The 22,366-nt window shown below is 47.3% G+C and overlaps 1 protein-coding gene across 6 annotated transcripts, besides 2 other annotated features; it reads right to left on the reverse strand.

The window, feature by feature from the left end:
• Window positions 1-644: 644 nt before the first annotated feature.
• Window positions 645-21,167, reverse strand: ZNF16 (zinc finger protein 16). 6 transcript variants are annotated; one of them, NM_001413564.1, is made up of 4 exons: window positions 21,084-21,167; window positions 18,244-18,312; window positions 16,298-16,502; window positions 645-2,877 (listed from the first exon to the last, which is right to left on the reverse strand). In NM_001413564.1, the coding sequence occupies exons 3-4, from the start codon at window positions 16,491-16,493 to the stop codon at window positions 1,025-1,027; spliced, it is 2,049 nt and encodes a 682-aa protein (NP_001400493.1). In that variant the 5' UTR covers window positions 16,494-16,502; window positions 18,244-18,312; window positions 21,084-21,167; the 3' UTR covers window positions 645-1,024. The 6 variants fall into 6 exon arrangements, with proteins under 6 accessions (NP_001400493.1, NP_001025147.2, NP_001400495.1 ...); NM_001029976.3 differs by having other exon boundaries at window positions 18,227-18,312; NM_001413566.1 differs by lacking the exon at window positions 21,084-21,167 and adding an exon at window positions 20,689-20,910.
• Window positions 20,677-20,986: a silencer, noted in NCBI's record as "silent region_19717". NCBI's record gives its function as "represses an Ori minimal core promoter by ATAC-STARR-seq in GM12878 lymphoblastoid cells {active_cell/tissue: GM12878}" and the evidence as "EXISTENCE:reporter gene assay evidence [ECO:0000049][PMID:35858748]".
• Window positions 21,227-21,296: an enhancer, noted in NCBI's record as "active region_28110". NCBI's record gives its function as "activates an Ori minimal core promoter by ATAC-STARR-seq in GM12878 lymphoblastoid cells {active_cell/tissue: GM12878}" and the evidence as "EXISTENCE:reporter gene assay evidence [ECO:0000049][PMID:35858748]".

The raw sequence follows: 22,366 nt of genomic DNA on the forward strand, positions 1-22,366 counted from the left end.
CTCAATTCTGTGGTACAAAAGCTGCCACAGCTATCTGTAAACAAATGGGCATAGCTGTGTTCCAACAAAACTTTTATCTAAAACAGGTCAGGGCTAGGTTTTCCATGAAACTGTGTCCTGACACCCCCAGACCTGCTGGCCAGCAGGGAGGGGCCTCTCAGCATCTGGGCTTTCTCCTTGCTCAGGGAACAGGAGCACAGCTCTGAGAACTAAGGATGGGGGTAAGTGAGCTAGGCCCTCAAGGCAGGGCACTTACTAGGTGGAAAAAACAGCCTGGAAGCTCATGGGCATGAAAATGAGGTCCATGGAGAGAGCTTCCTCTGTGGCCCAGAAACTAGAAGCTGGAACAGCCATGTGGAACTGTGCAGCAGCCCAGAACAGGATATGGGGGCCTAAGTCACAGCAGACCAGTGAGAGGAGAAAGCTGACCTCAGATTGCAGATCTGTATAAAGAAAAGTAGGGTGGCGGGGGAGCCTTGGGTTCAAATTCTGGAACAGGAGGGACAAAGAAGGGCAGGGAATTGGTGGTGATGAGTAGGTACCACTTCTGGGGAAGATGACAGAGCAACTGGACCTGAAAAACTCTCGACTTACCTAAAATATCAATTACAGCCAGTGACAAAGAATTCACGCCACACAACTCATTACCAATCAAACAAACTACTATGGTTATCTCAAACCAAACGTCACTTTACTTTTTTGGTAACTTTTCATTATAATAATAAACTCTATTCATGAATATGCAGCCTCCATAATCTTCTCCCTTGTAACAAACGTGCAGTCCGTTCACAAGCTGTAAAAACAAGCCCAAACCCAAGACATCACAAGAGGCAAGAGCAGTGGCAGTGAGAAGGGAGCCTGTAAAGGATGTTTCAAAGGAGGGTCCCAGGCTATGTGGCCACTGGATGTAGGCAGTGAGCTGAGTCCAGGCTTTCGGTCTGGGAAGTGGCAGAGGCTGAGACAATGGCCAAAGAGGAGTTGGAGAGGAAACTATGCTCGGTTTCACTCCTGCCAGCCCAACAGCCTATTCCCTGGTGTGAATCAACTGGTGTTTGATCAACTTTGATCGCTGGCTGAAGGCTTTCCCACAAGCAGCACAGTCATAGGGCTTCACCCCAGTGTGAATCCTCTGGTGCTGGATGAGGACCGAACGCTGACTGAAGGCTTTCCCACACTCACTGCATTTGTAGGGGCGCTCGCCCGTGTGGATTATCTGATGCTGAATGAGGTGTGAGCTCTGGCTGAAGCCCTTACCACATTCAACACAGGTGTAGGGTTTTTCCCCAGTATGAACTTTCTGGTGGTGAATGAGATTTGAGCTTCGGTTGAAGGCTTTACCACACTGGTTACATTCATGGGGCTTCAGCCCATTATGAATCCTCTGATGCTGAATGAGGGTTGAGCTCTGGCTGAAGGTTTTTCCACATTCAGTACATTCATAGGGCTTCTCTCCAGTGTGGACTCGCTGGTGAAGGATGAGGTTGGAGCTGCGACCAAAGGTCTTCCCACACTCGTGGCAGGCGTAGGGCTTGTCGCCTGTGTGCACGCCCTGGTGCTGAATGAGGGCTGAGCTGTGGCTGAAGGCCTTCCCACAGACACTGCATCTGTACGGCTTCTCTCCCGTGTGGATGATCTGGTGCTTTCGGAGCACTGAGCTATAACTAAAGGCTTTTCCACATACATTACACACGTGAGGCTTTTCTCCAGTGTGAATTCTCCGATGCTGAATAAGGCTGGAGCTCTGACTAAATGCTTTCCCACAGTCACTGCACTTATAGGGCTTCTCTCCAGTGTGAACCCTGTGGTGCTTAATGAGGTTGGAGACCCGACTGAAGGGCTTGCCACAATCATTACACTCATAAGGCTTCTCTCCAGTGTGGACCCTCTGGTGCTTCCTCAGGTGTGCACTCTGGCTGAAGGCTTTCCCACACTCGCCACACTCAAAAGGCTTCTCTCCTGTGTGAGTCCTGTGGTGTTTGATGAGGTTTGAGCTTCGCCTGAAGGCCTTCCCACACTCACTGCACACATACGGTTTCTCCCCAGAATGGATTCTTTGATGTTGGATGAGGTTTGAGCTCCGCCTAAAAGCCTTCCCACATTCATTGCATTCATAGGGCTTCTCACTCATGTGAGACTTTTGGTGCTTTTTAAGGCTCGAGTTCTGGCTGAAGGCTTTTCCACATTCATTACACATATAAGGCCTCTCACTGCTGTGGTGACTCTGATGCCTAGAAAAGTCTGAGTGCCCTCGGAAGGCTTTCCCACATTCGCTGCACTGGTAAGCTTTCTCACTCATATGAGATCGATGACGGTTTTTAAGAACTGAGTTCTGGCTGAAGGTTTTCCCACAATCATCACACATAAAGGAAGCCTCCCCAGTGTGGACTATTTGACGCTGAATAAGGTCAGGATTTCCTTGGAAGGTTTTCCCACACTCATTACATATGAGTGGACTTTCAGCTGTGGGAACCCCCTCATGACCAGTTAGGTCCACACTGTGCTGGAAACTCTGGCCACCCATGTCATATGGATGTGGCCTCTCTTCTGTAGGGATTTCCTGACATGCCATCAGGTTTGGGCTCAGACTGAAGCGACTGTCAAAACCATTACAGTCCAGATCTTTCTCCCCTAAGGGGCCCCTAAGGAGCCCCATGGCAGCTGGTGTGAAGTCCCCCTCCTGGGAGAGGGACTGTGGCAGCCTCCTGCCTTCGGGGACTCCCCAGTCTCTTTCTGATACATCATCACACAGATCTCCAAGCTCGGGTACCTGGGAAACATCACCAGCATAGTTTTCTGATATTTCTGCCTGTGATTCCAAATCTTCATGAATGTCTTCCTTGTGAAGAAACTCCTTGTCTTCAGTCCTGGTGTCACAATCTGAAACAATAAATAGAATATCACTTGGAAGGCAGTGCTGCAGCAGGAGCAGGAACATAGACAGTCACAGTTGCACCCACTAACTGTGGAGGAGGCAAGGGGAGCAGGGGATCCTCTGGGGTGGCAGTCCAGATCAGAGGGCATCAGGGAGGGGTGGGAGGAGCACTGGGTGATTAGGCTGCATGGGGCTGCAGATGAGTGAGAGCTCTTGATGACCACGGACCCACCCTCCCTGGGACTCCACATCTCAGCAAACGTTACTGCGGTCTACCTTCTGGCTCAGGCCAAAATCCTGGCTGTCCCTTGACTCCCCTCTTCCTCGACACCCACACCAAACCACTGGCAAGTCCTGTCAGCTCTACCTCAGAGTGCAGCCCAAATCCAGGTGCTTCTCACTTCTCCCACCTGTACCAGAAAAACGTCTCACACCACTCCTTACACTGTTACATATTTCACCCTTTTTTCTGTCCACACTGCCAGGTGTGAGCCTTACCAGCCTATCTCCAGTTCTGTCAGTGCATGCTAATGGCACTGAGCTTGGTCTTAGGAGTCACTAGTGTGGAGAGAGACCCCGTTGTACACAGAGAAGAAACCCAGCTGGCTCTCAGGGCCTGGCAAGTTGAGTTGCATGGAGGCATCATTCAACCACTCCTGTGCGGCAGGGACCTGTGTGGAACATCAGATTCCATCCTGTTCAACAGAGGACCCTTTAGAGACTGCTGTGTCCTGTCAAAGCCACCTGTACCTCTGAAAACCCACAATTCTGACTGGTGTTTGCGGATGACTTCTGGCCTCGTAACAATGTGCGTCATCTTTCCGCAGACAGAAATGCACACAAAGCTCCGTGTCTGCCAGAAAAGGCTTCAGCATCTCCCTCTCCCCTTTTCACACCTGCAGAACAAAGAAACCCTCATGTCCCTGTGTCCCTTACTCAAATGAAGATGTCACGAGTCTCTCATTCAAACTGACATCCCAGGCCACACTGCCACCTGGATGCTGAGCAGCTTCCCTGGCCCCCAACCTCCCCTCCTGCCCACAGCCTGGTGACATCAGACCCAGCACTGTCATGCACTCAAACATCCTCTCAGTGCCTCCTGGCCCTCCTAGACCCCACCTCTACCTCTGCTCCTGCTATACTCTGAGCAGGGCAGATGTGTCCACCTTTGGGTCTGCCTTGCCCAGAGCACTCTCCACATGGCCCTCGTGCTACCCACTTCCCTTGCACAGGCCTTGCTGGAGAGCCCTTCCCTGATCATAAATGCCAGCACCCCACCTACTTTCCTTGCCCCCACCCTGGCTGTCACCCACAGCCTGGATCACTCCCTGAAACAGGACTGCATCCCCCAAAGTGGAAGACCTCTGGTCTAGCTGTAGTCGGTAGTGCTGAGTGGGTGTGAAGGATGCCCCTCCAATGCCCCTCCCACCTTGCGGCGTCCACTCTGCTCCCTCCCTGCCTCTCCCTGTCTGGGACTTCCAGAATCTGCCATAACAGCATTCCATTTCCACCTCCAGTCTGGAATTGTCTGTTCCCAAGGAGCTGTGGTGTCAACAAAGATCCAAACCGGCCCAGCTCTCACCATGACCCTCCTGGGACTTGCCCCTCTACCCACTGCACCCACGTGTCTCTTGGTGACACTTCATGTTGGGTCACTGGACACCTGTGGTGCAGACACATCGTGCTGTGCCACTTTCAGCCAGAACACCCTCTTGCAGCTCCCTACTTCCTGGAGTCTGGGATCAGGCCTCTCCTCTCCCACAGAGCTGCCCTACGTGCCAGCACACAGATGTGGGTGCCTTTCTTTACCACCCTGCTGCCCTTTGGCAGGCCTGCTGTTATACACTCCACATGGGCTGCAGGGGATTCCCCAATGTCCCCCATGAGCTTCAGCTCTCCATGTCAGAAGCCCCAGCCCTGGCTCCAGAGGGTGTCTGGGAAATGTGGCATCTACATGCTGCTGGGCTCCCAGGAGCAATGAGGAATGGGGGCTGCTGGGACAGGTGAGGTCTGAACAGAAGTCTTCAGCCCTGACAGAGATGTCCTGGGACTCGCTGTCCCCCATCCTCCACCCCTGCCAAGACCCTGACTTGGGAGACCGTTGCCCTCTTCTGGCTGTGTGGAGAAGTGACCCAAGGAAGGATGAAGAAGGCTCTGGCAACAACACAGACAGGAGTCAGGAAGGTACTTCTGTGAAGGGTCAGAGAGGAGGATCATACATACATTACGGCTGTATGATCTCTGTCATATGGTCTTCTTTGTTGTTTTTAAAACCCTTAAAAAACACCTCAAAAGCATTCTTAGCTTGCAGGACATAAAAACCAGCCCACTAGCTGGATTTGGTGACCTCTGGCTGAGATGAGATGTCACTGGTGTGGATGAAGAGATGGCGACCATGAGGAACGGGTTGTCTAGCCCGAGCCACTGTTTAGATAGATCAAAGTCTTTTATTGAGACAGGAACTAAAGGTGAATTCTGTACGTGAGAAGGGTGAGAGATCACTTTTTGGACTGATTAAATTCAATGTAATTCTTCTCTGTAATATAAGAATTGTGGGGAAAAAATGAGTTCCTCTACAGAAAGGAAATATAAAATAAAAAATTTTATTTTCCTTTAAGAAAAATTTTTTTTTTGGAGACAGAGTTTGGCTCTTATAGCCCAGGCTCGAGTGCAACGGTGCCATCTCAGCTCACCACAACCTCTGCCTCCTGGGTTCAAGTGATTCTCCTACCTCAGCCTCCCGAGTAGCTGGGATTACAGGGATGTGCCACCATGCCCTGCTAAATTTTGTTGTATTTTTAGTAGAGACAGGGTTTCTCTGTGTTGGTCAGGCTGGTCTCGAACTCCTGACCTCAGGTGATCTACCCGCCTCGGCCTCCCAGACTGCTGGGATTACAGGTGTGAGCCACCATGCCCGGCCAAAGAACATCTTTTTAAAAAGTCAGTAAAATTTGGGCTTAAAGGTGAAGAAAAAGATTTGAAAGCAAATACAGTTGCTTGCACTGTACTCTGACACCCAATTGGAAAAAAGGACAAGGACTCTGAGCCCTTCCAGAACAAAACACACCTTCTGTGAAGAGGAAACACATCTTTATGATTAAAGACTTTTACGATGAGTGACCTCCAGGTTTGTGGAACAGCTTGGATAATTACCCAAGTCATAAACCATGCTTGTGTGAATGCCACGTGTGGCTGTGATGCATCAGTGGCTGCACCACGACCTCCCTCAGAGCCTCGGCTGGGCTGTGTGTTGGACAAACCCCAGAGGCATCTCACACTCAGATGGGGTGCTCCTTACTTCTTCATCTCCTACAGCAAGTTGTTTTCATTTGATTTAAACATTTACTGAGGTGAAATTAACATAACATAAAATCATTCTAAAACGAACAGCGGCATTTAGTACATCTATAATGTTATGCAACCACCACCTCTATTTTCAAAACATTCCCATCACTCCAAAGTAAAACCTCTTACCCATTAAGCAGTTTATCCCCATCTTCCTCTCCCTCCAGGCCCTGGCAACCACTAATCTGTATTCTGTGTCTACGAATTTACCTATTCTGGATATTTTGTACAAATGGAATTATATAGTATGTGACCTTTTGTGTCTGGCTTCTTTCACTCGGCACATCTCAGAGGTTTATCCGCGTGTAGCAGGTACAGTGCTTCCTTTTCATGGCTAAATTATATTCATTTGTATGTAGACACCACAATTAATCATTCATCCATTGACAGACATCTGGGCTGTTTGTACCTTTTGGCTATCATGAATACTACTGCTGTGAACATGATATGCATGTACTTGTTTGAGTATGTGTCTTCAATTATCTTGAGTATATATCTAGGAGTAGTACTATGTTCAAACTTTTGAGGAACCACCAAATTATTTTTCAGAGTAGTTATGCCATTTTACATTCCAGCCAGCGATGTATGAGGATACCAGTTTCTCCACATCCTCTTTTATCTTTTGTTTTTTTGATTATAGACATCCTAATGAATGTGAAATAGTAATCTCATTATGGTTTTGATTTGCATTTCTCTAATGACTAATGATGTTAAGCATCTTTTCTTTTGCTTGTTAGCCATTCATATGTTTTCTTTGGAGAAATGTTTATTCAAGTTCTTTGCCCCTTATTTATTTATTTATTTATTTATTTATGAGACAGAGTCTTGCTCTGTCACCCAGGCTGGAGTGCAGTGGCATGATCTCGGCTCAATGCAACCTCCGCCTCCTGAGTAGCTGGGATTACAGGTGCATGCCACCACTCCCAGCTAAGTTTTGTATTTTTAGTAGAGACAGGGTTTCATCACGTTGGCCAGCATGGTCTTAAACTCCTGACCTCAAGTGATCCACCTGCCTTGGCCTCCCAAAGTTCTGGGATTGCAGTTGTGAGCCACCGTGCCCAGCCTTTGCCCATTTTTAAATTGGGTTGCTTGTGTTTTGTTGTTGAGAAGTAAGACTTCTTTATATATTCTACATACTACACCCTTATAAAAAATATGATTTGCAGATTTCCCCCCATTCTGCAGGATGCTTTTTTCACTTTCTTTCTCTCTCTTTTTTTTTTTTTTTTTTTTTGAGACAGAGTCTTGCTCTGTCATCCAGGCTGGAGTACACTGGTGCGATCTTGGCTCACTGCAACCTCTGCCTCCTGGGTTCAAGCAAAAGCCTCCAGAGTAGCTGGAACTACGGGCACATGCCACCATGCCCAGCTAATTTTTGTAGTTTTAGTAGAGATGGGGTTTCGCCATATTGGCCAGGCTGGTCTCAAACTCCTGACATCAGGTGATCTGCCTGCCTTGGCCTCCCAAAATGCTGGGTAACAGGCTGAGCCACCACACCTGGCTTCTTTTCACGTTCTTGATAATATATTTTGATATTCAAGTTTTAAATTTTGATGAAGTCCAATTTATTTATTTTTTTCTTTTGTTGCTCATGCTTTGGTGCCATATCTAGGAATCCACTGCCAAATCCAAGATTGGGAAGATTTACCCCTACACTTTCTTCTAAGAATTTTAGAGTTGTTAGCTCTTATATTTAGCTTGTTGATCTATTTGGAGTTAATTTTTGTATATGGCATAAGGTAGGGGTTCACCTTCACTCATTTTTTGGGACAGGGTCTTGCTTTGCTATTCAAGCTGGAGTGCAGTGGTGATCACAGCTGACTGTAGCCTTGAGCTGTTGGGCTCAAGTGATCCTCCTGCCTCAGCACCCCTGGAGTAGGCACCAACACAACTGGCTATTTTTTTTTTGTATTTTTTTGTAGAGACAGAGTCTTGCTATGTTGCCCATGCTGGTCTCAAACTCCTGGCCTCAAGCGATCCTCTCACCTTGGACTCCCAAAGTGCTGGGATTACAGGCATGAGCCACCACATCCGGCCCCAACTTCATTCTTTTACATTTGGATATCTACTTGTCTCAGCACCATTTGCAGAAGGGCTATCTTTTCTCATTGATTGAAAGGACTTGGTACCCTTGTTGAAAATCCACCTGCCACATATGTATGCGTTTATTTCTGGACTCTCAATCTGATTCCACTAGTCTGTATGTCTTTGTGCCAGTACCACATTGTTTTGATTACTGCAGCTTTGTAGCAAGTTTTGAAAGTGGAAAGTCTAAGTCCTCTGACGTTATTTTTCATGATTGTTTTGGCTACCCAGGGCTCTTTGTAACTTCATATGAATTTGAGGATCGTCTTTTGTTTCTGCAAAAAATGGCCATTGTAATTTTGATAGGAATGGCATTGAATCTGTAGAACACTCTAGGTAGTTTGGATGATTAATATTGTCTTCCAATTCATGAACACATGATGCCTTCTATTTATTTGTGATTTCTTTAATTCCTTTCCACAATATTTTGCAGTTTTCAGTGGACAAGTCTTAAATCTCCTTGGTCAAATTTAGTCCTAGGTTTTAATTTTCCCTATTGATGCTATTGTATATGGAATTCCTTCCTTAATTTCCTTTTCACACTGTTCATGGCTGGTATACAGAAACAACTGATTTTGTGTGTTGATCAGTTGCTGCAACTTTGCTGGGTTTGTTTATTACCTCTAATAGCTTTTTTGTGGATTCTCTGGGATTTCATATATACGGATTCACATCTTATGGAAAAAGAATTTTACTTCATTTCCCAACTGGATGTCTTTTATTTCTTTTTCTTGACTAACTGCTCTGGTTAGAACTTGCAATACAAGGCTGCAGAGTGGCATGTTTGTCTTGTTACTGACCTTAGGGGAAGAGTTTTGTTCTTCACTACTGTGTATGATGTCAGCTTGAGGGTTTTCACAAATGCCCTTTATCATGTTCAGGAGGTCCTCTTCTATTACAAGTTTTATGAATGCTTTTTTTTTTTAACTGTGAAAGTGTTAGATTTTGCCAAATGTTTTATTTGCATAAATTGAGATGATCATAGTTTTTCTCCTTCGTTCTATTAATGTGATGAATTACAACACTAGGTTTTCTTATGTTGAACCACCCTTATATCCTGGGTTAAATCCCACTTGGTCATATGCTATTGGATTCAGTTTTCTATTTCTTTGTTGGGAGTTTTATATCTCTAGCCATAAAGGATATTGGTTTGTAATTTTCTTTTCTTGTCTTCAAGCCATATCTTTATCTGGCTTTGGAATCAGTGTAAAGTTGACCTTGTAGAATTAGAAAGTGTTCTCTCCTCCTTTGCAAGAGTTTGCGAAGGTTTGGTATTAATTCATTAAATTCACCTTTAAATCCATTGTGGGCCAGGCACGGTTGCTCAGTCTGTAATCCTAGCACTCTGGGAGGCCGAGGCGGGTGGATTGCCTGAGCTCAGGAGTTTGAGACCAGCCTGGGGAACACGGTCTCTACTAAAAATACAAAAAATTAGCTGGGCATAGTGGCACGTGCCTGTAGTCCCAGCTACTCAGGAGGCTGAGACAGGAGAATTGCTTGAACCCAGGAGGCAGAGGTCACAGTGAACTCAGATTGTGCCACTGCACTCCAGCCTGAGGAACAGAGCGAGACTCCGTCTCAAAAAAAAAAAAAAAAAAAAAAAAAAGCCATTGTGGTCCTGGACTTTATTTTATTGGGAGTTTTTATTACTAACTCAATCTCTGTTAGAGGTCTGTTCTGATTTTCTACCTATGCTTGAGTCAGTTTTAGGAATTTGTGTGTTTCTATTGATTTGTCCCTTTCATCTGGGTTATCTAATTTGTTGGTGTACAATTAGTCACAATATTCTCTTTTTATTTTTGTAAGGTCACTAGTAATGTTCCCACTTCCACTTCTGATTTTAGTTATTTGTGTCTTTTTTATTTAATCAATCTAAGTAAAGGTTTATCAACTTTATCTTTTCACAAAAGCAACGTTTGATTTTGTTGATTCTATTTTCTACTCTATTTCATTTAACACTGTTCTAATCCTTCTTTTTTCTTCCTGCTGCTAGCTTTGGATTTTATTTGCTCTTCTTTTATAGTCCTTTAAAAGATTTATACTTTTAAATCTGACTTATATCTTTCTTTCCTTTTTTTTTGAGACAGGGTCTCACTCTCATTGCTCAGGCTGGAATGCAGTGGCATGATCTCAGCTCACTGCAGCCTCAACTTCCTAAGCTTAGGTGATCTTCCTATCTCAGCCTCCCAAGTAACTAGGACTACAAGCACAAGCAACCACGCCCAGCTAATTTTCTGTATTCTTAGTAGAGATGGGGTCTCAACCATGTTGCCCAGGCTGGTCTCGAACTCCTGGGCTTAAGCGATCCACCCACCTCAGCCTCCCAATCACACCTGGCCTCTCTCTTCCTTTTCAACAAGGGTGTTTATTGCTATAAATTTCCCTTTTGACATTGCCTTCACTGCATCCCATAAGTTTTGGTATGTTGTGTTTTCATTCATCTGCAGGTATTGTCTAACTGTCTGATTTCATCTTTGATCCATTGGTTGTTTTATTTCTATACATTTGTAAACTTTCCAGTTTCCCCGCTGTTGCTGGTCAGAGAAGATACTTTGTGTAATTCCAATCTTTTTAAATTTATTGAGACTTGTTTTGTGGTCTAACATATGGTTTGTGTTACATGTACACTTGAGAAGAATGTATATCTTCTTTTCTGAATGGAGTATTTTATATACTTCTGTCTTAGCCCATTTGGGCTACTGTAACAAGATACATTAGACTGGGTAATTTATAAACAACAGAAATTTATTGCTCACAGTTCTGGAGGCTGGGAAGTTCAAGATCAAGGTGCCAGTGGATTCACTGCCTGATGAGAGCTGGTTCCTCCTAGGTATTCCCTTCTATGTGTATTCACATGGTAGAAGGGCAAGAAAAGAAGCTAACAAGCTCCCTCAGGCCTCTTATAAGGAGATAATCCCATTCACAGGGCTCTGCTCTCATGGCCCAGTCACCTCCCAAAGGCCCCACCTCTTAATAACGACACACTGCAGATTAGATTTCAAGATATGACTGGAGAGGGGAGGGGTTGGGGGGGACATTTAGACCACAGTGATGGTCGTCCATTAGGTCTAGTTGGGTTGTAACGCTGTTCAAATCCCCTAGTTCCTTAGTGATCTTCTGTCTAGATGTTCTATCCATTTTTCAAAGTGGAGTACTGAAGTCTCTATTACTATAGAGCTATTTCTCCCTTCCAATCTGTCTATGTCTGTTTCAGATAGTTTGGAGCTCTTTTTTTTGATGTGTATCTGCTTATAATTGCCATATCTTCTTGATGACTCTGCCCTTTTATAAATACATACTGTCCTTATTTGTCATCTATTTTGTCTAATATTGGTATAGTCACCCCAACTCTCTTTTGGTTATTCTCTGCATGGAATATTTTTCCACCTTTCACTTTAAACTTATTGTGTCTTTGAATCTAAAGCCTCTTGTGGCATATAGTTGGACCATGTTTTCTTACACATTCTGTCAATATTTGCCTTTTGACTGGAGACTTCACATGTAATTACTGAAAAGGAAGGACTTCTGCCATTTTATTTATTTTTGATAAATCTTTTACCTTTTTGTTCCTCAGTTCCTCTACTGCTGTATTCTTAGGTATTACCTTTTTTGTAGTGTACCATTTTAATTCTTGCCTTACTTCTTGTGTCCATTTTTTTTTTTTTGAGACAGTCTCGCTGTCACCCAGGCTGGAGTGCAGTGGCATGGTCTCAGCTTACTGCAACCTCTGCCTCCCAGGTTCAAGGGATTCTCCTGCCTCAGCCTCCCAAGTAGCTGGGACTACAGGCGGGTGCCATCGTGCCCGGCTAATTTTTTGTATTTTTAGTAGAGATGGGGTTTCACTGTGTTGGCCAGGATGGTCTCAATCTCCTGACCTCATGATCTGCCCACCTCAGCCCCCAAAGTGCTGGGATTACAGGCGTGAGCCACCGCGCCTGGCCTCTTGTGTCCATTTTTAAGATTTTTTTTTTTTTTTTTTTGAGAGGGAGTCTCGCTCTGTCTCCCAGGCTGGAGTGCAGTGGCGCGATCTTGGCTCATTGCAAGCTCCGTCTCCCGGGTTCACGCCATTCTCCTGCCTCAGCCTCCCAAGTAGCTGGGACTACAGGTGCCCACCACCTTGCCTGGCTAATTTTTTTGTATTTTTAGTAGAGACGGGGTTTCACTGTGTTAGCCGGGATGGTCTCAATCTCCTGACCTTGTGATCTGCCCGCCTCGGCCTCCCAAAGTGCTGGGATTACAGGCATGAGCCACCATGCCTGGCCCATTTTTAAGATTTTTTTTTGAAGTGGAGTTTTGCTCTGTCACCCAGGCTGGAATGCAGTGGCACAATCTCATGCCTCTGCCTGAGTTCAACCTCTGCCTCCTGGGTTCAAGCAATTCTCCTGCTTCAGCCTCCTGAGTAGCTGGGATTACAGGTGCCCACCACCATGCCCAGCTAATTTTTGTATTTTTAGTAGAGACAGGGTTTCACCATGTTGGCCAGGCTGGTCTCGAACTCCTGACCTCAGGTGATCTGCCTGCCTTGGCCTCCCAAAGTGCTGGGATTACAGGTGTGAGCCACTGCGTCAAGCCCATTTTTAAGATATTTTCTTACTGATTACCATGATGATTGCAATGAACGTTCTAACATCCTAAAACAACTGATACCAGTTTAGTCTCAGTAACACAAAATCTCTGCTTCTCTACAGATGTTACCCCCCTTATGTTGTTGTCATCACAGATTACACCTTTATACATAGTGGGGTAAAAAACATAGACTTATAATGCAGACCTTTTATGCATTTGTTCTTTAGATCACTTAGGAAATATGTAATGGCAAAAACCACAATTAATTTTGCACCAACTTAATACAAAGTGTACTTAGAAACCAAAATATAGGGATACTAACTTTTATACTTACCTATGTAGTTACTTTTACTGGAGGTCTTTATTTTTGTATGGCTTTGAGTCCCTGTCTAGTGTTCTTTCATTTCAACCTTCAGGACTCCCTTTAAAAGCATTCCTTGTGGGGCAGTCTATTTGTAACAAGCTTCCTCAGCTTTTATCTACCTGGATATGTTTTAATTTCTCCTTCATTTTGAAGAATAATTTTGCCAGATAACAGAATTCTTAGTTGACAGGTTTTTTTCCCCCTCTTAGCAGTTTAACTAAGCCGTCCCACTGCCTTCTGACCTCCATGGGTTCTGATGAAAAACTGGCTAGAAATCTTACCCAGAACCCCTTGTTCAGGGATAGGTCTCCTCTCTTGCTGCTTTCAAGATTCCTTGTATTTCAACAATTTGATTAGAAAGAGACCTGGTGTGGATCTCTTTAAATAGACTCTACTCAGTTTGTTGAACTGCTTGTGTGTGTAGACATGTCTTTCATCACATTGGGGATACTCTCAGCCATTATTTCTTCAAATATTTTTTCCATCCCCTTCTCTATTCTTTTCCTTCTTGAACATCCCTACTATGCACGTTGGTCTACTTGATGGTGTCTCATGGTCCATTAAGTTCACTTTTCTTTTTTCTTTTTTTTTTGAGACAGAGTCTCACTCCATTACCCAGGCTGGAGTACAGTGGCACGATTTCGGCTCAATGCAACCTCCGCCTCCTGGGTTCAAGCGATTCTCCTGCCTCAGCCTCCAGAGTAGCTGGGACTACAGGCATGCATCACCACGCCTAGCTGATTTTTGTAGTTTTAGTAGAGACAGGGTTTCACCACGTTGGCCAAGATTCTCTCGATCTCCTGACCTCAAGTGATCTGCTTGCCTCGGCCTCCCAAAGTGCTGGGATGACAGGCGTGAGCCACAACGCCCAGCCATTAAGTTCACTTTTCTTAGATCTTTTTTCTCCTCAGACTGAATGATTTCAATTATCCTATCTTCAAGTTGCCGATTTTTCTGCCTGCTCAAATCTACTGCTGAAACCCTCTAGCAAAATTTCCATTTCATTTTTTAGTTCCAGACTTTCTATGTTTCTTTTACAATTTGTATTTCTTATTGATATTTTCATTTTGTTCACACATCATTTTCCTGGTTCTTTTAGTTCTCTATGGTTTTTTTTTTTCTTTTTTTCTTTTTTTTTTTCTTGAGACGGAGTCTCACTCTGTCACCCACGCTGGAGTGCAGTGGTGTGATCTCAGCTCACTGCAAGCTCCGCCTCCTGGGTTCATGCCATTCTCTTGCCTCAGTCTTCAGAGTAGCTGGGACTACAGGTGCCTGCCACCATGCCCAGCTAATTTTTTGTATTTTTAGTTGAGATGGGGTTTCACCTTGTTAGCCAGGATGGTCTTGATCTCCTGACCTCGTGATCCACCTGCCTCAGCCTCCCAAAGTGCTGGGATGACAGGCATGAGCCACCGTGGTGCTGGGTTACAGGCGTGAGCCACCGTGGTGCTGGGTTACAGGCGTGAGCCACCGTGGTGCTGGGTTACAGGCGTGAGCCACCGTGGTGCTGGGTTACAGGTGTGAGCCACCGTGGTGCTGGGTTACAGGTGTGAGCCACCATGCCCAGCCTAGTTCTCTATGGTTTCTTTCACCTCTCTGAGCATATTTGAGGCAGTTGATTTGAAGTTTTTGTCTACTTAAGTCCAATGTCTGTGCTTTCTCCAGGACACTTTTTGTCAGTTTACTTTTTTCCTTTGAATGGGACATATTTTTTTGCTTCGTTATATGCTTCATGATTTTTGCTTTGTTAAAAACTGCACAACTGAATATTAAAATGTGGTATCCCCCCTCCAGGCTTTGCTGTTTTTGATTGTTGAAGACTAGAGTCACATGTTCATTTAGTGACTTTTCCAAACTATTTTTGCAAAGACTATTCTTTGTCGAGTACAGTCACTGAAGTCTTTTTCTTTAGCTTGTGTTCAACCAGTGTTTTGACAGAGATTTTATCAAGAGAAAAACCAACACAAAACACTTCTCCCAGTCTTTGTGGATTGACTCTGTGTTGGGGTACTTTTTAAACGCTGTTTACAACTCTTTCTGAGTTGACTGCCTTCACTGAGCCTAGAGATTAGACAGAGTTCTTGAGAAAGCTTATGGTCTTAACAGGTCTTTTCTGAGCACACACCCAGTCCTGCGCATGCATGTGACTTCCTGGATTCCCCAAAATATATAGGTGCTTTTTTTTTTTTCAAATTTATGTATTTTTTTCTGAGACAGAGCCTCACTCCAGTTGCCCAGGCTAGAGTGCAGTGGCATGATCTTAGCTCACTGCAACCCTTGCCTACCAGGTTCAAGCAATTCTTGTGCTTCAGCCTTCCAAGTAGGTGGAATTACAGGTATGTGCCACCACACCTGGCTAATTTTTGTACTTTTAGTAGAGACAGGGTTTTACCATGTTAGCCATGCTTGTCTCGAACTCCTGGCCTCAAGCAATCCACCCACCTCGGCCTCCCAAAGTGCTGGGATTACAGGCGAGAGTGATCACACCCAGCCTTTCTTAATTTTTTAGTAGAGATAGGGTCTTGCCATGTTATACTGGCTGGTCCTGAACTCCTGGCCTCATACAATCCTCCTGCCTTGGCCTCTCAAAGTGCTCAGATTATAGGTATGAGCCACCACACCCGGGCCAAGGGTGCTTTTGAATGCCTCTATTTCCCCACAAGAAACTCCTCAGCTTTTCTTCCTAGGCTTTAGATGGCCAACTGTATGGGTAACCACAGTACAAAGCCCTGGACCAGAGTAGAGTCCTGAGGGGAGAGGGCTGCCACCAGCCTGGTTGTTGAATTGGGAAGGGGTCAGGAGTATAGGGCAAATCAAAGGACGCTGGTGGCCATCATGTCATACCTCTTCGTGTCAAGTGGGGAAATCACAGTTCTGCTCAAGGTGCCAGGGGCCAGGCTAGGTTAACTTCCTTGCTGACATCCAGCCTTGGCTCCTTGAGTCAGAGTACCCCGTCACCCTCCCTACCTGTGATGACACAGATGCCTCCTAGGGGTAAGCACAGGGTTCCATGGACATCACTTCCCCAGAATAAGGGCACCAGCGGAGAACTGTTCTTAAAGTACCTGGCTGCTGATAGTGAGGGCAGATGGCTTCCAGCTCAGTATCACTACAGCAGGGGGTACCACAGGCTGCAGATCCAGGGTGGGTCACAGCAGGAGCATCTCTCACACGGGCCTGGGCTGCAGGGGTCCAGGGGGATGGTCCTGGAACTGAGAGCTCCATCTCTGCCTCCTCACGGCGAGTTCTGAGGCTGGGCATGACAAGGACCTGAAAACCGGCAAGAACACAGGTGAGTCTACAGACAGGCTAGCTCTAGGGATTCATCCTCCCATCAGGCCGGGGTCTCTTCCTCCACCCCTGCAGCCCAAGACCTGAAGAGGGCCTGGTGCTGCCAGGTCTCAGGGGCTGATGCTGTGTTTCCTGATCTTGGACCTAAAAAGAGGGAGTCAGCCATGGAGACACAGACTCAAAAGCCAGGGCCACAGTACAAAGGGGCAAGATGCTGACCCTAAGGTAAAGTGGGTCATGGTGCCCAGACCTGCCATGATAGGAGGGCAGCCCCCACAGGGTCTGTGTCCTGCTGTGGGGCCTGTGTACTGCTGTGGGGCCTGTACCCTGCTGTGGGCCTGTGTCCTGCTGTGGGTCTGTATCCTGCTGTTGGGCTTGTGTCCTGCTGTTGGGCCTGTGTCCTGCTGTTGGGCCTGTGTCCTACTGTGGGCCTGTACCCTACTGTGGGCCATACCCTGCTGTGGGCCCGTGTCCTGCTGTGGGGCCCGTACCCTGCTGTGGGCCATACCCTTCTGTGGGCCTGTACCCTGCTGTGGGCCTGTGTCCTGCTGTGGGCCTGTGTCCTGCTGTGGGGCTGTGTCCTGCTGTGGGCCTGTATCCTGCTGTTGGGCCTGTGTCCTGCTGTTGGGCTTGTGTCCTGCTGTGGGGCCTGTGTCCTGCTGTGGGGCCTGTACCCTGCTGTGGGCCATACCCTTCTGTGGGCCTGTACCCTGCTGTGGGCCTGTGTCCTGCTGTGGGCCTGTGTCCTGCTGTGGGGCTGTGTCCTGCTGTGGGCCTGTATCCTGCTGTTGGGCCTGTGTCCTGCTGTTGGGCCTGTGTCCTGCTGTGGGCCTGTACCCTACTGTGGGCCATACCCTGCTGTGGGCCTGTGTCCTGCTGTGGGGCCTGTACCCTGCTGTGGGCCATACCCTTCTGTGGGCCTGTACCCTGCTGTGGGCCTGTGTCCTGCTGTGGGCCTGTGTCCTGCTGTTGGGCTTGTGTCCTGCTGTTGGGCTTGTGTCCTGCTGTGGGGCCTGTGTCCTGCTGTGGGGCCTGTACCCTGCTGTGGGGCCTGTACCCTGCTGCGGGCCTGTACCCTGCTGCGGGCCTGTATCCTGCTGTGGGCCTGTGTCCTGTTGTGGGGCCTGTATCCTGCTGTGGGCCTGTATCCTGCTGTGGGCCTGTATCCTGCTGTGACCACTCTTCTCACTCCTTGTTGCTGACATTCACAATGCTCTGAAGCTGGGCAGGCCAGACCCACCTAGAGTGGGAGAACAGCAGCTCCAAAGGGTGAACAGCCAGGGGCAGCCTGTGCTGCAGCCCCACATGTCATCATTATGTGTCAACGCCTACCAAATCCTAGTGGTCAGTTCTATCTGAGTTGCACCATCCTGGCAGCACCCACAGCAGGTGTTCCCATCTTTACTTGCACCAGCTACTCCCTCCTAGCCTCTCATTCCCCATTTCATGTTGGCACCCCAGTGTGCACTTCTGCACTGCCACCAACTTCCTTGGTGATTATGTCCAGTCTTGAGGCATCAACACCCTTGTTAAGATTCACAAACTTGGGCTCATCTCCAGTCCTAACTACTCCCTGTGAGCAGGAGAGAGGACACTCCCACGTGGCGGCATGACGGGCTCCTCACATGTTACTGATTCCCCCACCCCTCACTGTGTAAATGCACCATACCCTGCCCGGGTGCCCACTGGGAGCACTGACATACCTCAGCCCTTCACTCACATTGTACTGACATTGACTCTTCTGTCCTTCATGAGCACCAGCTGAGAATGAGGGTGTGGTCAAGGGGATCTGCAAAGGGGATGTGAAGAAAGGTGGCAGAAGGATGGTGCAGGGAGTCAACGTGATGGTACGTGTCACCCATAGGCCATGTGGGGAAGAAAGAAGGGCTGGGTGGTGCTCCTGGACTCAGATCACCATCAAGGAGAAGGCAAGGAGATATGAACAGAGCTCACAGGGATGGTTACTATGGACCAATGATAAGGGGCCTTGGCTGCCAGATGAAGGTGAAACACTGGCCACATTTCTGTGTCAGGAGAGACAAAACTAATATCTCAAGATTAACTTGGCAGGGTGCTCAGAGGAATGGTGGGAGATGAGATTCAAAGCAGGTACAGCACTAAGGTGCCTACCACGTGGCAGCAGAAATGGAGGAGACATGGGCGATGGGGGTGACAAGGCCCTCTGTGACTGCATCTGCCTGCCCTTACAGTGCAGATGCCCAGTTTCCTCGAGGGAAACCTCTCCCCATCCAAGTGGTGATGTAATAATCTGCAATATTTATTTAGTTCATTTTATTTAAAAATACTTTAAATTCTCATTGTTTCTGAATAGGGGCATAGTCACCTCAAAATTTAAAAGGTAAAAAGGATTTATGGTGAAAAATTCCCCAAACATCCACACAGTTTCCCTTGTTTCTAGTGTACCGTTCCAGATTAATCTAGGTTTACACAGCAAATATATAAACATATGTTTGCCTTTTAATGATAAATTACACCCAACTATGCTATGGCTTCACACCTTATTTTTCTCACTTCATTATGTGTGGGATCTTGCTTACCAGGACACAGAATAAATGCCCCCTCTCACCCAGGTCCATATCCTAATCCCTGGAACTTGTGCTTATGTTACACTACATACCAAAAAGGACTTTGCAAAGGGAATTAAGGTTATGGACGTGAATTACCCTGGTGGACCCAATCTAATCAAATGAGCCCTTAAAAGCCTGAGAAAGATCTGAGGGCCACATGGAAGGACCTCGGAGAGCTAAGGATCACTCAGGCTGGCAGCCAGCACTTCTGAGGACCAACCTCAAGAAAAACAGATTCGGCCAACAGCCTGAACAAGCTTGGAAGTGGAGTCTCCTGGCTAGAGGCTAAGCCTGCTCTTTAGGAGTCACACAACTGGAAGAGCCAGCCACCACCCTCCCATAGCAAGCAGCCACAGGATGGGCCCTGGCCGATCCCTCAGCACCTTCCCCCTTGGGGAAGAACTGGCCCAAACTCTCCTCCCTTCCCAGAGTACCTCCTCCACACGCAGAGCGACTCCACTACTGACTGGGCCTCCCAGGCAGGACATCTGAGGCTGAGCGAAACCCCCTTTCTCCCCCAGCTCTGCTCAGTGCATCTCTGACTTCTCATGGAACACCAGGAACCACGAACCCACCCTTGTCTCCCATGCGCTGGGAACCACCCCATCGCACTGCTGCCCCATGTAGGGAAAAGAAAGAAAGATCAGACTGTTACTGTGTCTGTGTAGAAAAGGAAGACATAAGAAATTCCATTTTGACCTGTACCTTGAACAATTGCTTTGCTGAGATGCTGTTAATTTGTAACTTTGCCCCAGCCACTTTGCCACAACTTTGAGCTCACAAAAACATGTGTTGTATGGAATCAAGGTTTAAGGGATCTAGGGCTGTGCAGGATGTGCCTTGTTAACAAAATGTTTACAAGCAGATGCTTGGTAAAAGTCATCGCCATTCTCCAGTCTCAATAAACCAGGGGCACAATGCTCTGCGATAAGCCACAGGGACTTCTGCCTTGGAAAGCCGGGTATTGTCCAAGATTTGTCCCCATGTGATAGTCTGAAATATGGCCTCATGGGATGAGAAAGACCTGACCGTCCCCCAGCCCAACGCCCGTAAAGGGTCTGTGTTGAGGTGGATTGGTAAAAGAGAAAAGCCTCTTGCAGTTGAGATAGAGGAAGGCCACTCTCTCCTGCCTGCCCCTGGGAACTGAATGTCTCGGTATAAAACCCGATTGTACATTTGTTCAATTCTGAGACAGGAGAAAAACTGCCCTATGGTGAGAGGTGAGACATGTTGGCAGCAATGCTGCCTTGTTATTCTTTACTCCACTGAGATGTTTGGGTGGAGAGAAACAAATCTGGCCTACGTGCCCATCCAGGCATAGTACCTCCCCTTAAACTTAATTATGGCACAGATTCTTTTGCTCACATGCTTTTTTTTGCTGACCTTCTCCCTATTATCACCCTGCTCTCCTACTGCATTCCTCTTGCTGAGATAATGAAAATAATAATCAATAAAAACTAAGAGAACTCAGAGACCGGTGCCGGTGCAGGTCCTTAGTGTGCCGAGTGCCGGTCTCCTGGGCCCACTGTTGTTTCTCTACACTTTGTCTTATTTCTTTTCTCAGTCTCTCGTCCCACCTGATGAGATATCCCACAGGTGTGGAAGGGCAGGCCACCCCTTCACCCCGTCGCTCCGCCCGAGCTCGAATGGTGGCACCGACAGGCGGGAACGCCACCAGCCTGTGGGCGGAGTCCTGGCTCGGCCCCTCGCGGCGACCTTACCCCGGGGTCTCCCCGGAGACCCCCTACCGGAGGCAGCCCCCAGAGGCTCTGACCTCCAGCCCAGGCCGAGCTGCCCCCGCCCCGCCCCCCCCGCGCTCCCACAACCCCCCGCGCGGCTCCGCCCCCGCCCGGGGTCCCCAGCTCGCTGCCCGCCCCGTCTGAGCCCTGAGAGGCCCCTGGGCCCCCCAACCACGGGGGCATCAGGGACAACCAGACGCAGGGTCCCAGGCGTGGAGCTTCGCGGAACTAACCTCAACGGGTCGCGCTTGGAAAGGAGGCAGCACCGTGGCACGAAGACGTCTCAGCCAACGCCGGCTGACCCCCGGAAGTCCCGCCCCGAATTCCGGCCCGCCGCTCGTTCTATCTGGGGCAGCGTAGCCTCTCTAGATGGCGGGAGGCCGGGGCGACTCTGTGGTTCAGCCCCAGACCTGGTCCCACTAGCCCTGAGGCCAGAGACCCTTCTGTTCCCCTTTTTTTCAGAGTTGACCCGTGCACTGAACAAGGCGGCAACTGAAGAAAAGGGGACACTAATAGAAATGCAGAGATAATGAGATATACTCGTGTAGTGGGAGATTTTAATATACAGGCCCCCAGAATCGGAACAGACGGTAGTTTGATAAAAACCTAAGGATACGTTTTTTGGAAGAACTGAATCATTCAATCAGTAAGTGATTAGATAGATAAATGGAAGAATTCAGATTCCTTCAGTAGATAACATGTTTTCGTGAGATTGTGCATGGATCGTTTCTAATACGGAAATGAATTGTACACTTGGACATAAAGAATACAAATAAGGCTGGGTGCGGTGGCCCACGCCTGTAATTCCAGCACTTGGGAGGCCGAGGCGGGCGGATGGCTTGAGGCTAGGAGTTTGAGACCAGCCTGGGCAATATAGGGAGACTCCATCTCTACAAAAAATACAAAAGTTAGCCAGGTGTGATGGTGTGCGCCTGTAGTCCCAGCTACTCAGGAGGCTGAGGTGGGCGGATTGCTTGAGCCGGGGAATGTGCGGCTGCAGTGAGCCGGGATCACATGTTGCACTGATGAGAGAGTGAGACCCTGTCTCAAAAAAAAGAAACAAACAACAACAACCAAAAAAAACCTCACAAATATTTTGACGTTCATTTTGCAGGCAGATTAAACTATCAAAATCAGGAATACATAATAAAAAATGCATGACAAACTCTATTGGAATTTAAGAAACACTGTCTAGATAACCCCCCCCCCTTTTTTTTTTAGTTCAGGCTGAGGTGCTCTCAGTTGGAGATGAGGAACTTATTGGAAGCTGGAGTAAAGGTCACTCTTGCTATGCTTTAGCAAAGAGATTGGTGACATTTTGGCCCTACCCTAGAGATCTGTGGAACTTTGAGCTTGAGAGAGATGATTTAGGGCATCTGGCAGAAGAAATTTCTAAGCAGCAAAGCATTCAAGATGTGACATACCTTTTTCTGAAAGTGTACAGTCATATGCATTCACAAAGAGATGGCCTGAAATTGGAACTTATGTTTATTTTTTTATTTATTTTTAATTTTTT

The sequence above is a fragment of the Homo sapiens genome, chromosome 8 (genome assembly GCF_000001405.40).
Source record: "Homo sapiens chromosome 8, GRCh38.p14 Primary Assembly".
NCBI lineage: Eukaryota > Metazoa > Chordata > Mammalia > Primates > Hominidae > Homo > Homo sapiens.